General features: G+C 47.9%; 1 protein-coding gene and 1 long non-coding RNA gene across 4 annotated transcripts; both read left to right on the top strand.

Annotated features, from left to right (window-relative positions):
* Positions 1 to 1212: 1212 nt before the first annotated feature.
* On the top strand, positions 1213 to 7921 carry LOC105375292 (uncharacterized). Its single transcript, XR_927290.2, has 3 exons — positions 1213 to 1356; positions 2215 to 2279; positions 7882 to 7921. It is a non-coding gene; the product is annotated as an uncharacterized LOC105375292 (long non-coding RNA).
* A 939-nt stretch (positions 7922 to 8860) lies between these two features.
* On the top strand, positions 8861 to 14006 carry LOC107986800 (putative uncharacterized protein FLJ44672). 3 transcript variants are annotated; one of them, XM_017012928.3, is made up of 3 exons: positions 8861 to 8946; positions 11000 to 11057; positions 11167 to 14006. In XM_017012928.3, exons 1-3 carry the CDS (start codon positions 8919 to 8921, stop codon positions 12362 to 12364), a joined length of 1284 nt encoding a protein of 427 aa, XP_016868417.1. In that variant the 5' UTR covers positions 8861 to 8918; the 3' UTR covers positions 12365 to 14006. The 3 variants fall into 3 exon arrangements, 2 of the variants coding, with proteins under 2 accessions (XP_016868417.1, XP_016868418.1); XR_001745215.2 differs by lacking the exon at positions 11167 to 14006 and adding an exon at positions 10574 to 10773 and having other exon boundaries at positions 8865 to 8946; positions 11000 to 11028; XM_017012929.3 differs by lacking the exon at positions 8861 to 8946 and having other exon boundaries at positions 10948 to 11057; positions 11150 to 14005.

Raw genomic sequence — 14020 nt, 5'->3', positions numbered from 1 at the left:
CTCTGCTAAAATTAATACTTTTTTTTTTTTTGAGATGGAGTTTCACTCTTGTTTCCCAGGCTGGATTGCCCAGGCTGGAGTGCAGTGGCGCTATCTTGGCTCACCGCAACCTCCGCCTGCCGGATTCAAGCGATTCTCCTGCCTCAGCCTCCCGAGTAGGTCTGATTACAGGCATGTGCCACCATGCCAAGCTAATTTTGTATTTTTAGTAGAGATGGGGTTTCTCCATGTTGGTCAGGCTGGTCTTGAACTTCTGACCTCAGGTGATCCGCCTGCCTTGGCCTCCCAAAGTGCTGAGATTACAGGCATGAGCCATGGTGCCTGGCCAAAATTAATACTTTCTATATTAAATTTACATATATATATATATTTTTTTTCTTTTTGATACCGGGTCTCACACTGTCACTCAGGCTGGAGTACAGTGGCACAACCTCTGCTCACTGCAGCCTCCACCTGCCAGGCTCAAGCAATTCTCCTGACTTAGCCTCCCGAGTAGCTGGGATTACCGGTAAGTGCCACCACACCGAGCTAATTTTTGTGTTTTTTGTAGAGATGGGGTTTTGCCATGTTTCCCAGACTGGTCTCAAACTCCTGAGCTCAAAGCAATTCACCCACCTTGGCCTCCCAAAGTGCTGGGATTACAGGTGTGAGCCACCTTGCTCATTCTAGTTTAAACTTTTGAGTGGTTTCTGTCTCCTGATTGGACTCCTACAAATACAGAATTGATGGTAGGAAGGGTACCAGGAGATAGACCCACACAGATGGGATTTGGGAATAAGTTTGGTTATCCAAGGAGCAGTGCTGAGCTCCTTGCCAGTGGGATATGGGATGCTGGTGATTTCCAGGAAGTGACCTCACAATGACTCAAGCTACCACTTACTGTTGATTGTGATGAAACACCAGGTGAAGGCCGGGTGCAGCGGCTCACCCCTGTAATCCCAGCACTTTGGGAGGCCAAGGTGGGCGGATCACGAGGTCAGAAGATCAAGACCATCCTGGCTAACACGGTGAAACCCCGTCTCTACTAAAAATACACAAAATTAGCCGGGCGTGGTGGCGGGCACCTATAGTCCCAGCTACTCGGGAGGCTGAGGCAGGAGAATGACGGGAACCTGGGAGGCGGAGCTTGCAGTGAGCTGAGATCGTGCCACTGCACTCCAGCCTGGGCGACAGAGTGAGACTCCGTCTCAAAAAAAAAAAAAAAAAGAAATACCAGGTGAAGCATATGCCCTGCAAGCTTAGGGGTGCTGCAGTTGACCACTGCAGCAGTAAAGATGACTGAAGAATGGCATGGGATGGATCCTTTCGAATGCACTTGAGCAGCAGTCTCCCAACCACAGGGCCACAGAGCCAGAGGTGAGCAGCAGGCGAGTGAAGGGAAACTTCATCTGTATTTCTAGCCCCTCCCATCGCTTGCATGACCACCCTAGCTCCATGTCCTGTCAGATCAGCAGCAGCATTAGATTCTCATAGGAGCACGAACCCTGTTGTGAAGTGTGCATGCGAGGGATCTAGGTTGTGCGCTCCTTACGAGAATCTGATGCCTGATGTTCTGTCACTGTCTCCCATCACCGCAGATGGACAGTCTAGTTGCAGGAAAACAAGCTCAGAGATCCCACTGATTCTACATTATAGTGAGTTGTAGAATTACTTCATTATATATTACAATGTAATAATAATGGAAATAAAGTGCACAGTATTTGTAATGCACTTGAATCATCCTGAAATTATTCCCTCCACTCCCAGTCTGTGGAAAAATTGTCTTCCACACATTCACTCTGTTTTTTGGTAGAGACAAGGTCTTAATATATTGCCCAGACTGATCTCAAACTCCTGGCCTCAAGTAATATACCTCTTTCAGCCTCCCAAAGTGCTGAGATTACAGGCATAAGCCACCACCCTCAACCAAGACTGTTTCTTAAACCAAATAAAAATTAAGTGAGATTACTTGAGCCCAGGTGGTCGAGGCTGCAGTGAGCCCTGATTGCACCACTGCACTTCAGCCTAGGTGACAGAAAATAAAAAATCAAATAAAAATAATGTCTCAAAAAATAAAATACAAATTAACCCTTTATGACATTCCCAGTAACTTTCCAAGTATTCCCACAAGTCTTTGAATTTTGTTTAATTTTCACATACCATTTAAGACGTTTAAGAACTTATGTCTGTTTGTGTCATCCCTTTATTTCAAAAGAATGTATTTGTCACTTCCAGCTGGATCTACCATGAAAGACTTCTGAATCCAGGAAAAGAGACTGACTGGGTAACATGTTATTCAGGTACAAAAAGACTTGGACTATAACTCAGAAATGATCAAATAATAGTGCATGCATCAAATGCAATGGGAAGCTCTTTTGGAGGCTGAGAGAAGTTTCCAGTTAAGGTGACATTGAAGCTAAGTCCTGAAAGATGAGGAAGAGTTGTATGAGAGTGGGGAGGGAAGGGGGAGGTGGAGGGATGGGGAATGGGCTGGAATGGGCTGGAGTGAGCTGTGCAGGCAGGGAAACCAGCACTGCACAGACCTGGACAATGAAGAGGGCACATTTTGTTCAGGGAATGGTGAATTAGGTGTGGCAGGAATGCTTTGTGGAGACAGTAATTTGCTTGTATGGAATTTTGCCTGAGAGATCTCACTACAGTTTCTAATTTTTTGATGTTGTCATCCATCACTGTCCTTGTCAAATAGTTTGGAATAGGTATAATGATCACAATAACACCAAGCATAATATTTCGTTAATTCTCACAGAATCACAGGTAGGTGCCACAGTTATCCCCATTTTACGAATGAAGTGATGAAGACTTAGCAATAATGAGTGATTTGCCCAAGCTCACCTGGATATTAAGACTGAGTCGAATGTCTGGTCTGACTTTAATGCTTGCTTTGTTCATGAGCACCACGTATTGCCTCTCCTATGCAGTTAAGCAGGTAGACAGGTGAAAGAAAAGCCCGTGTCTGTCTCTGCTCACACACTTCCGACTGAATGTATGTATGGAGTTTCTACACCAAATTCTCCAGTGCTCTGGATATTAACTGGGTATCCCATGATTTTATTCTGACACTGCCTGGAGTTAGCACAGACCCCACAAGTTAGGGGCTCAGTCCCACGAGACCATCCTCACTTCAGATGCCAATGGCAAGTCCTAGGTTGTCACCTGTACTTTTGACCAACCTGTTACAAATCGGGGGTTCCCATAACTCCATTCTTGGGTTTAATTATTTGCTAGAACAGTTTACAGAACTCAGAAGAACAGTTTATTTTCTTTTTTTCTGAGAGAGAGGGTCTTATTTTTTTGCCCAGGCTGGTGTGCAATGGTGCAGTCATAGCTCACTGCAGGCTTGACTGCCTGGGCTCCAGTGGTTCTCCCACCTCATCCTCCCTAGTAGCTGAGACTACATGCCTGCACCACCACATCTGGCTAATTTATTTTTTGTATAGATGGGGTCTTGTTGTGTTGCCCAGGCTGGCCACAAATTCCTGGTCTCAAGTGATCCTCCCACCTCTGCCTCTTAAAGTGCTAGGATTACAGATGTCAGCCACCACATCTGGCCAGTTCATCTCCTATTGCTGGTTCATTGCAAAGGATACATTTCAGAAACAGCCAATGAAAGAGACGTACATGCTGGATGCAGTGGCTCACGCCTGTAATCTCAGAACTTTGGGAGGCCAAGGTGGGAGCATCGCTTAAACTGAGGAGTTTGAGACCAGCCTGGGCAACATGGTGAAAACCTGTCTCTACAAAAAACAAAAAAATAATAATAACCGGGTGTGGTGGTGTGCACCTAGAGTTCCAACTACTAGGGATGCTGAGGTGAGAGGACACCTTGAGCTGGGGACTGGGGAGGCTTAGGTTACAGTGAGCTGAGATTGTGCCACTCCACTCTAGCTTGGACTAAAGAGCCAGACCCTATCTCAAAAAAAAGAAAGATGCCCAGGGCAAGGTAAGTTAGGAGGGGCACAGAGTTCCCATGCCCTCTGTTGAACATGCCACCCTCCCAGCATCTCCTGTGTTCAGCAACCCCAGAAGCTCCGCAAACCCTGTTCAGGGTGTTTATGGAGGCTTTATTATGCAAGCATGATTGATAAAATCTTTGGCCATTAGTGATTAAGGCAGTCTCCAGCCCCTCTTCCTCCTGGAGTTGAGTGCATGAGGCTGAAAGTTCCAAGCGTCTAATCATGTGGTTGCTTCCATTGGCAATCAGCCCTCCTCCTGAAGAAATCTAGGAGCTTGCAGTCACCCAGTCATCTCAACAACATCCCCAAATGCATTCTTACCGTGCTGGAGATTCCAAAATTCTTAGAGGCTCTTGTGTTAGAAACCTGGGACCAAGACCAAATACTAAAACAAAAGATGTTCCTGTCACATCTATCACTGAGGTCTTTGTAAGAGCTTTAGAAGCTCTGTGCCAGGAACCAGGGACAGAGATGAAATATATATTTCTTTTCTTTTTTTTGAGACAGAATCTCCCTGTGTCATCCAGGCTGGAGTGCAGTGATGTGATCATAGCTCACTATAGCTTTGGCCTTCTGAGATCAAGTGATCCTCCCATCTCAACCTCCCAAGTAGCTAGGACTACACATGCATGTCATCCATGCCCAGCTCATTTTTGTAGAGTCGGAGTTTCACCATGTTGGCCAGATGGGGTCTTCTTTTGTTGCCCAGGCTGGCCACAAATTCCTGGGCTCAAGTGATCATCCCACCTCATCCTTGTAGAGATGAGATTTAGTTATGTCATCCAGGCTGATCTCAAACTCCTGGGCTAAATCGATTGTCTCACCTCAGCCTCTCAAGTAGCTGGGACTACAGGCGCATACCACCATGTTGGGCTAATATTTATTTTTATTTTTTTCTAGAGGCGGGGGTCTCACTATGTTGTTCATGCTAGTTTCAAACTTCGGGCCTCAAGTGTTCCTCCTGCCTTGACCTCCCAAAGTGTTGGGATTCTGGGTGGGAGCCCCCATGCCCAGCAATTACAAGGGTCTTTATAAAAGAAAGAGAGTAGGAGATTCAGAATTGGAGCAGGAGATGTAGTGATGAAAGCAGAGGTAAGAGAGGGAGATTTGAAGATGCTTCATTTCTGGCTTTGAAGATGGAGTCAGGGGCCATGATCCAAGGAATGGGGGTGGCTTCTAGAAGCTAGAAAAGCCAAGGGAACACTTTAGAGTCTCTAGAAGGAATGCCGCCCTGCTGACACCTTGACTTTAGCCTTAATAGACCTAGTTTGGGTTTCTGGCCCCTAGAACTGTAAGATGGTAGATTTGTGGTGTTTTAAGCCACTAAATGTAGGAAACTGCAAACTATGTTGCAGCAGCAAGAAGAAATGAACATGAAGCCAGGCATGATGGCTCATGCCGGTAATCCCAGCACTTTAGGAATTTAGGCAGGAGGATCACTTGAGGCCAGGAGTTCAAGACCAGTCTGGGCAACATAGTAAGACCTTGTCTCTACAAAAAATGAAAAAATTGGCCAGGCATCGTGGCTCACGCCTGTAATTCCAGCACTTTGGGAGGCCGAAGCGGGCAGATTACCTGAGGTCAGGAGTTCGAGACCAGCCTGGCCAACATTGCAAAACCCCGGCTCTACTAAAAATAGAAAAATTAGCTGGGCGTGGGGGCACGCACCTGTAATCCCAGCTACTTGGAAGGCTGAGGCAGGAGAATCACTTGAATCTGGGAGGTGGAGGTTGCAGTGAGCTGGGATTGCACCATTACACTACAGCCTGGGCAAGAAGAGTGAAACTCTGTCTCAAAATAAAATAAAATAAAATACTAAAAAATTTAGCCAGGCATGATGGCATGAACCTGGAGTCCCAGCTACTCGGGAGGCTGAGGTGGGAGGATCGCTTGAGCCTGGAAATTTGAGGTTGCAGTGAGCTGTGATTGCGCCACTGCACTCCAGCCTTGGTGACAGTGAGATCTTGAAAAAAAGAAAGAAGAAAGTAAAGAAAGAAGAAATGAGCATGGTGGGCATGGGGACAGATGGCAATGTTAAATAGAATGGTCAGGGGTGGCCTCCTAAGTGAAAATTGAGTAAAGACTTGAAGGAGGGGAAGGAGCTGGCCAAGGTGCTGAGGGAAGAGGATTGTAGGCAGAAACAATAGAATAAAGTGTCTGAGGTGTGTCTGAGGCTCTGGAAGGAGGCCCATGGAGCAGACAGAGAGAGGGAGAGAATTAGGGGAGGGGGCCAGGGAGTTGCTGGGTGGGGATCAGTACAGATCACATAAGCCCTGGGAGGTTATTGCTGGGGCTTTGGCTTTTACTCTGACTCAGATGGGAACTGCGGGAAGGTTCTGAGCAGAGAGGCGACATGATCTGTCTCCCATTTTAAAAGCGTTCTCTGGCTGCTGAGTTGAGAAAGACTATGGGAAGATGTGGGTAGAAGCATGGGGGCCAAGCTTTGGCAGCATCCAGGCGGGAGATGATGGTGGTCCTGACCAGGGTCGTGGTGGTGTTGAGAGATGGTCAGAGGGGAGAAGTAGGGGAGGAGGCCAGGGAGTTGCTGGGTGGGGATCTTTAGTACATGTCGAAGACAGTCAACAGGATTTCCTGACAGACTGGATATGGGGTGTGAGAGAAGGCAGGGGTCAAGGTTGAGTTTGATTGTTACTGAAATTATTAAGTAATTTTAAAAAACACTACTGCCTTTCCCAATCCTACCAAGTATGGGATGCTAGATTAAAGAAATCTCTTCAGGCTCATTGCAGTGGCTCATGCCTGTAGTCCCAGCTGTTTGGTAAGCAGAGGTGGGAGTATCTTTTAAGGGCAGGTGTTCAAGACCAGCCTGGACAACACAGCAAGATCTGCTCTTTACAAAAATATTTTTCAAAATGAAATAAATGTAGCTAGGCATGGTGATGTGTACTTGTAGTTTCAGCTACTCAGGAGGCTGAAGTGGGCAGATCTCTTGAGGTCAGGAGTTTGAGGCCAGCTTGGGCAACATAGCAAGACCCCTCACTCTACAAAAAAAATTAAAAAAATAACCAGGCATGGTGGCACTCAACTGTACTACCAGCTACTGGGGAGCTGAGGCAGGAAGATGGCTTGAGCCCAGGAGGTCGAGGCTGCAGTGAGCTTTAAGTGCACAGCTGCACTCCAGTCTGGGTGACAGAGCAGGACCTGTCTCACAATACAAATAAAAATACAAGTAAAATAATGACATCTCAAGTCAGAGCCTTTTGTCTCTGCAGCCCTTGCAACCCCTCAGCCGTGCAGTGGGGTTTGTGTCGCTGGGAATGAGGAGACCCCTGCCCGGTGTTGTTGCCTGTCTAATCAGTGTTTTAAAACATATATTAATCGGGGTGGGCGCGGTGGCTCACACCTGTAATCCCAGCACTTAGGGAGACCCAGGTGGGTGGATCACCTGAGGTCAAGAGTTCAAGACCAGCCTTCTCTACTAAGAAAATACAATAATTAGCCGGACATGGTAGTGGGCGCCTGTAATCCCAGCTATTTGGGAGGCTGAGGTTGGAGAATCGCTTGAACCTGCGGGGTGGAGGTTGCAATGAGCTGAGATTGCGCCACTTCACTCCAGCCTGGGCAAAAGAACAAGACTTTGTCTCAAAGAAAAAAACAAAAGTATTATATCAACATGTAATGGTTTTATTATTAATATGTGATGAATATTAAATATTTTTAAAATCTTGTATTATATCAACATGTAATGGCTTTAATATGTGATGAATAATATTTAAAAATTTTTATTTTCTAGTTTTAATATAATTATTTACAGAAAGAAATAGTCTTAGAGATCTTCAATAAAGTTAAAAAATGTAAAGGGATGTTAGACCCCAAAAGATTGAGAATTTCTAGTTTAGAAATATTCAGAGTAAGCCACATACAACTTGCTACTTGAACTATTTTTTTTCTTTGTTTTTTATTTTAGGAGATGGGGTCTCACCCTGTCACCCAGGCTTGAGTACAGTAGTGCTATCACAGCTCACTGCAGCCTTGAACTCCTGGGCTAAGGATCCTCCTACTTGAGCCTCCTGAGTAGCTGGGACTGTAGGTATACATGACGATACTTGGCTAATTTTTAAATTGTTTTGTAGACATGGGGTCTCACTTTGTTAGCCAGGCTGGTGTCAAACTCATGGCCTCAAGTGACCCTTCCACCCCTGCCTCCCATCCTAGAGGTATGTGCCACCACAAGGAGCACTTGTTCAATTTTCTAAAAAAAAAATTTCTAAAGTAAGGCTGTGGGATGATGGCAGGAAGATAAAAGAAAAACAGAAGCATAAGTTAAAATGACTTATTCACACATATTCTTTTGACAGCAAGAAGAACTTTTAGTATATACATTCCTTACAAACAAACAAAAGGCAGATAAACAATGTTGTATAGGAACTTCAACACACACTGTACAATATTCCCACTTTGCTGACATAAGTTATGGAAATTTCGTGGTTTACTTGAGTGTCGCTACCAGTATTTTGCTTCTCTGATCATTTTTATCAACTTCCTCATCTGTTAACTTCTCTCCAAGGTATGTCATATCATGACATACTGCCGCTGCACGAACATGGCCAGTGTCTTCCTATTAAACATGTAGAATGCTTTCCTAATTTCTCTTTTTACTCTCTGTCTTTGTGTTTTGCATTTTCCTTACTTTTATTGTCAGAAACTCCAGAAAGTCAATCGTACTAATTTATCACCATTTGCTTTATTAATTTATACTTTGCTTATATGGAATTTTGCCCAACAGACCTCATTACAATTTCTAACCTGTTTTATTTTGTTTTTTTTTTTTTCTGAGACAGGGTCTCCCTCTCTTTTCCAAGGCTGGAGTGTAGTAGTGCTATCACAGCTGACTGCAGCCTCAACCTTCCAGGCTGAAGCGATCCTCCCATCTCAACCTCCCACGTGGCTGAGACTATAGGTGCTTGCCACTATGCCCAACTAATATTTGGAATTTTCCTATACATGGATTCCAGAGGGGTGACAGCAAAACGTGAGTAAGCATGGATTTTGGTATATGCAGAGATGGGGGGCTGGAACTAATTCTGTATACTGAGGGACGACGGTATATGTTTTTACAATTACGCTGTAGGATACATACTGTTGCATAGCCTTGAAAATAATAATTTTTAATTGAGTGGAATAATAATAATGATAAAAGTAGCAGCTGGCCAGGTGTGGTGGCTCACACTGGTAATCGCAACACTTTGGGAGGCTGAGGCAGGAGGATGGCTTGAGGCCAAGAGTTTGCGATAGGCCTTGGAAACAAAGGGAGTCACCATCCCTACAGAAAAATACATGAATTAGCCTAGTGTGGTGGCATGTTCCTGTAGTCCCAGCTACTTGGGAGGCTGAGCTGGGAGGATCACTTGAGCCCAGGGAGGCTGAGACTGCAGTGAGTCATGATCAGGCCTCTGCACTCCAGCCTCAGTGACAGAGTGAGACCCTGTCTCAGAACAACAAAAAAGTAGCAGCTAACATCAACTGACCTTTTACCAGGTGCCTATTGATACCATAGTTTAATTTCTTATAACTGTTTCTTATTTCACTTACCAACTCTGTCTTCAGTTACTCCCCAGATTTTTACTGTGTTTGTACAGATGACCTTTTGTTGAGATTGAATTGTCTCCCCAGAAGTAAGATTACTGTGAGTCATGGTGAATAGACATTCTCCTTACCCTTGATGTAAATGGTCAAGGTTTTGGGTGCCTCCCAGCTATAATCTTAGCACTTTGGGAGGCTAAGACAGGAGGATTGCTTGAGGCCAAGAGTTGGAGGAGGCAGTATGGCAGTACGGTGAGACCCTGTCTCTATTATTTTAAAAAATTGACAAGCTTTACCCTGGAAGGCTTATACACAATTTAAACACCCCTCATAGTATAAGAAAGTGCCCATTTCACTGCACCTTTGCCAGCACAGGGTATTATAATTTAGTAAGTCATTTTTTGTTTGATTATTTTAAATAGATAAAAGACCTCATATTACTTTACTTGTCACATTTCAACATCTTCCCTTAGCTTATTAGCTCTGTTTCTTTTCTGTCTGTAAATGGTTGTTGTTGTTTTGTTCTTTGAGACAGGGTCTTGCTCTGTCACCAGGCTGGACTGTAGTGGCATAATCATGCCTCACCGCAGCCTTGACCTCCCAGGCTCAAACTTCAGCATTCCGAGTAGCTGGGACTACAAGTGTGCACCACCACTCCCAGCTAATTTTTTTCTTTTTTTGGATAGAGACAGGGTCTCACTGTGTTGCCCAGACCGGTCTCTAGCTCCTGGCCTTAAGCAATCCTCCTGCATTAGCTTCTCAAATTGCTGGAATTTCAGGCATGAGCCACCATGCCTGGCCTGGGCTAGTCCTATATTCTCTAGAGTTCTCTTTACTTTGTGCTAGCCAATCTCTCATTATGCTGTTTACCTGTTATAATGAATAATTCTCTGTATTAAATTTTACCACTTTAAACTTTTGAGCGGTTTATGCTTCCTGATTGGACTCTGACTAATATGTTAGGAAGGGTCCCAGGAGATAAACCCACACAGATGGGATTTGGGCATAGGTTTGGTTTCCCAGGGGGCAGTGCTGAGCTCTTTGCCAGTGGGAAATGGGATGCTGGTGATTTCCAGGAAGTGACCTCACAATGACTCAAGCTACCACTTACTGTTGATTGTGACGAAATGCCAGCTGAGGCACATGCCTTGGGAGCTAAGTGGTTGCTGCACTTGACCACTGTGAAGACTGGTGTGGGAAGGGTCGTTTTGGATGCACTTGAGCAGGGGTCCCCAACCCCTGAGCCATGGAGCCGTAAGGAGCCACACAGCAGGAGGTGAGTGGTGTCGAGTGAGGGAGTGAGGGAAGCTTCGTCTGTATTTACAGCCACTCCCCTTTGCTCACATTCCCGCCTGAGCTCCACCTTCTCAGATGAGCAGCAGCATTAGATTCTCATAGGAGAACGCACCCTGTTGTGAACCGTGCATGTGAGGGATCTAGGTTGCGCTGTCCTTATGAGAATCTAAACCTATTGATCTGTCACTTTCTCCCATCACGCTCAGGTGGGACCATCCAGTTGCAGGAAAACAAGCTTAACACGCCCACTGATTCTACATTATGGTGAGTTGTATAATTATTTTATTATATATTACAGTGTAATAATGGAAATAAAGTGCCTAATAAATGTAATGTGCTTAAATCTTTTGGCCCAGCTCCTACCTCCCGGCAGCCTCTCCAGGCCCAGAACTTTCTCCAGTCAGCCTCCGCAGACCAAGCTCATGACTCACAATGGCCTATTTAGGCCCATACCCTACCTCACGGCAGTCTCCGCAGATGAGGCTACTGCCTCACAACAGCCTCCACAGGCACAGCTCCACCGTTACAATGGCCTCTTTAGACCCAGCTCCTGCCTCCCAGCCTTCTCTCCAGGCCCTGAACTTCCTCAAGTCGACCTCACCAGGCCCAGCTCATGCTTCTTGGCAGCCTCTCCAGGCCCAGCTCCTGCATCTTGGCAGCCTCTCCAGGCCCAGCCTCTGCCTCCCGTCAGCCTCTACAGTCCCAACATCTGCCTCACAGCAGATTCTTCAGGCCCAGCATCTGCCTCACTGTGGACCACCCAAGCCAAGCTCCCAACCTTTCAGCAGCTTCTACACACCCAGCTCCTGCCACCCAGTGGCCTCTTTAGGCCAAGCTCATGCCTCACAAGGGCCTTTCCAGGCCCAACTTTTGTCTCATGGCAACCTTCCCTGGCCAGATTCCTGCCTGTCTCCCAGCAGCCTAGACAGGCCCAGGTCTTGCCTCACACTGGCCTGTCTACATCCAGCTCTTGCCTCACGGTGGCCTCTCCAGGCCCAGCTCCTGTCCCAGGACGTCATCTCCAGGCCCAAAACTTCCTCAAGTCAGCCTCTCTAGTCCCAACTGCTGCCTCCTGGTGGCCTATGAAGGCCCAAAATCTCCTCAAGTTGACCTCTCCAGGCCCAGCTCCTGCCTCCTGTCAGCATCTACAGGCCCAACCTCTGCCTCATGGGGGCTTCTCCAGGCCCAGCTCTTCCTCTGGGCTGAGTCTACAGGCACAACTGCTGCTTCACAACAGCCTTTTTTGGCCCAGTTCCTGTCCAGCTCACAGCGGCCAATGTAGGCCCAAAACTTCCTCAAGTCAAACTCCCCAGGCCCGCCTTCTGCTTCCCGGTGGCATGAACAGGCCCAGCTTTGACTTGAGAACAGCCTCTGCAGGCCGTGCTCTTGCCTCCCAGGGGCTTCTCCAGGCCCAGCTCTTGCCTCATGGCGGCTGCCCCAGGCCAAGTTTCTGCCTGCCTGCCAGCAGCCTCAACAGGCACAGCTCCTCCCTCACAGTGGCCCATTTAGGCCCAACTCATGACTGTCGGGCCATTTCCAGGCCTAGTGCCTGCCTCCTGGCTGACTCTTGAAGCCCAAAACTTCCTCAAATCAGCCTTTTGCCCAACTTCTGTCTACTGTCGGACTCTACAGGCCAGCCTCTGCCTCACAGTGGACCCTCCAGACCCAGATGGTGTCTCACTGTGGCATCCTCAGGCGAAGCTCCTGCCTTTTGGCAGCCTCTACGGGCCCAGCTCCTGCCTTGCAATGGCCTCTTTAGGCCAAGCTCATGCCCCACGGTGACTTTTCCAGGCACAGCTTTTGCCTTTTGCAGCCTGTCCAGGCCCAGAATGTCCTTAACTCGGCATCTCCAGGACGAGCTCATCCTCCCAGTGCGTCTACAGGCCCGTCTCCTGCCTCACAACAACCTCCTTTGGCCCAACTCCTGCTGAGCTGCTTGGCAGCCTCTGTAGGCCACAGAGTTCTTAAAGTAAAGCTTTCCAGGCCCACCTTCGGCCTCCCAGCAGCCTCAGCAATCAAACTATTCCCTTACTGCGGCCACCGAAAGCCAAGTTTCTCCCTGCCTCACGGCATCCTCCGAAAACTGAGCATTTGCCTCACGGTGGCCTCCCCAGGCCACGAATCTGCCTGCCTCCCAGGCAGCTGCTGTCTCACAATGGTCTCTTTAGGCCCAGCTCATGCTAAAAGACAGACTCTCCAGGCACAGCTCTTGCCTCCTGGCAGCCTCTGCAGGCCCAAATTCTCCAAAAGTTGGCCTCTCCTAACTCAGCTTCTGCCTCATGTCGGCCTACACAGGCCCAGACTCTTACCACACAGTAGACCCTCCAGGCCCACCACTTGCCTGAGCATAGCCTCCTAAGGCCAAGCTCCTGCCTTTTGGCAGCTTCTACAGGCCCAGCTTCTGCCTCGCAATTGCCTTTGTAGGCCAAGATCATGCCGCGAAGTGGCCTTTCCTAGCCTAACTTTTGCTTTTTGACGCATACTCCTGTCCCAAAACTTCCTCCAGTCAGCCGGTCCAGGCCAAGCTCTTCCTCCCAAAGGCTTCTGCAGGCCAAAATCGTCCTGAAGTCACCCTCTGCAGGCCCAGCTCCTGCCTCCAAGTGCTGTGTAGGCCAAGCTAATGCCTCACAGCACACTTTCCAGGCTGAGCGTTTCCTTTTGTGCATCCTCTCCAAGCCCTGAACTTACTCCAGTTGGCCTCTCCAGACCAAGCTCTCCCTCCCAGTGGCCTCTACAGGCCAAAACTGTCCTCAAGTCAGCCTCTCCAGGGCCAACTCCTAGCTACCGGTGGCTTCTGTAGGCCAAAATCGACCTCAAGTCAGCCTCTTCACACCCAGCTCTTGTCTCTAAGTGGCCTTTCCAGGAGCAAAACTTCCTCAAGTCGGCCTCTCCAGGCCCAGCCTCCTGCTTCCCGAGGGCATGTACAGGCCCAGCCTCTGCCTCACAGCAGACTCTCCACGCCCAGCTCTTCCCTGTCTGCTGCCTCTCCAGTCCAAAGCTGCTCCTGCCTTTCGGCAACTTGTACAGGCCCAACTCCTCCCTCACGGTGGCCTCTTTTCGCCCAACTCATGCCTCTTGCAACCTGCCCAAGTGTCAGCTCCTGCCTCACACTGGCCTGTTGAGGCCCAGCTCATGCCTCTCGTGGCCTCAACGGGCCCAGCCCCTGCCTGTCGGCGGCCTCTACAGGCCCGGCCTCTACCTCACAGTGGGCTCTCCAGGCCCACATC

The sequence above is a fragment of the Homo sapiens genome, chromosome 7, assembly GCF_000001405.40.
Source record: "Homo sapiens chromosome 7, GRCh38.p14 Primary Assembly".
In the NCBI taxonomy this organism is placed as follows: Eukaryota; Metazoa; Chordata; class Mammalia; order Primates; family Hominidae; genus Homo; species Homo sapiens.
This window is presented reverse-complemented; position numbering and strand designations above follow the sequence as displayed.

Coding starts and splice junctions, on each gene's coding strand:
- LOC107986800 (XM_017012928.3), top strand. CDS start 8,919: ATGGATTCCAGAGGGGTGACAGCAAAAC. Junction 8,947..10,999: donor CAGAGGGGTGACAGCAAAAC/GTGAGTAAGCAT, acceptor CATCACGCTCAG/GTGGGACCATCCAGTTGCAG. Junction 11,058..11,166: donor CCCACTGATTCTACATTATG/GTGAGTTGTATA, acceptor ACCTCCCGGCAG/CCTCTCCAGGCCCAGAACTT.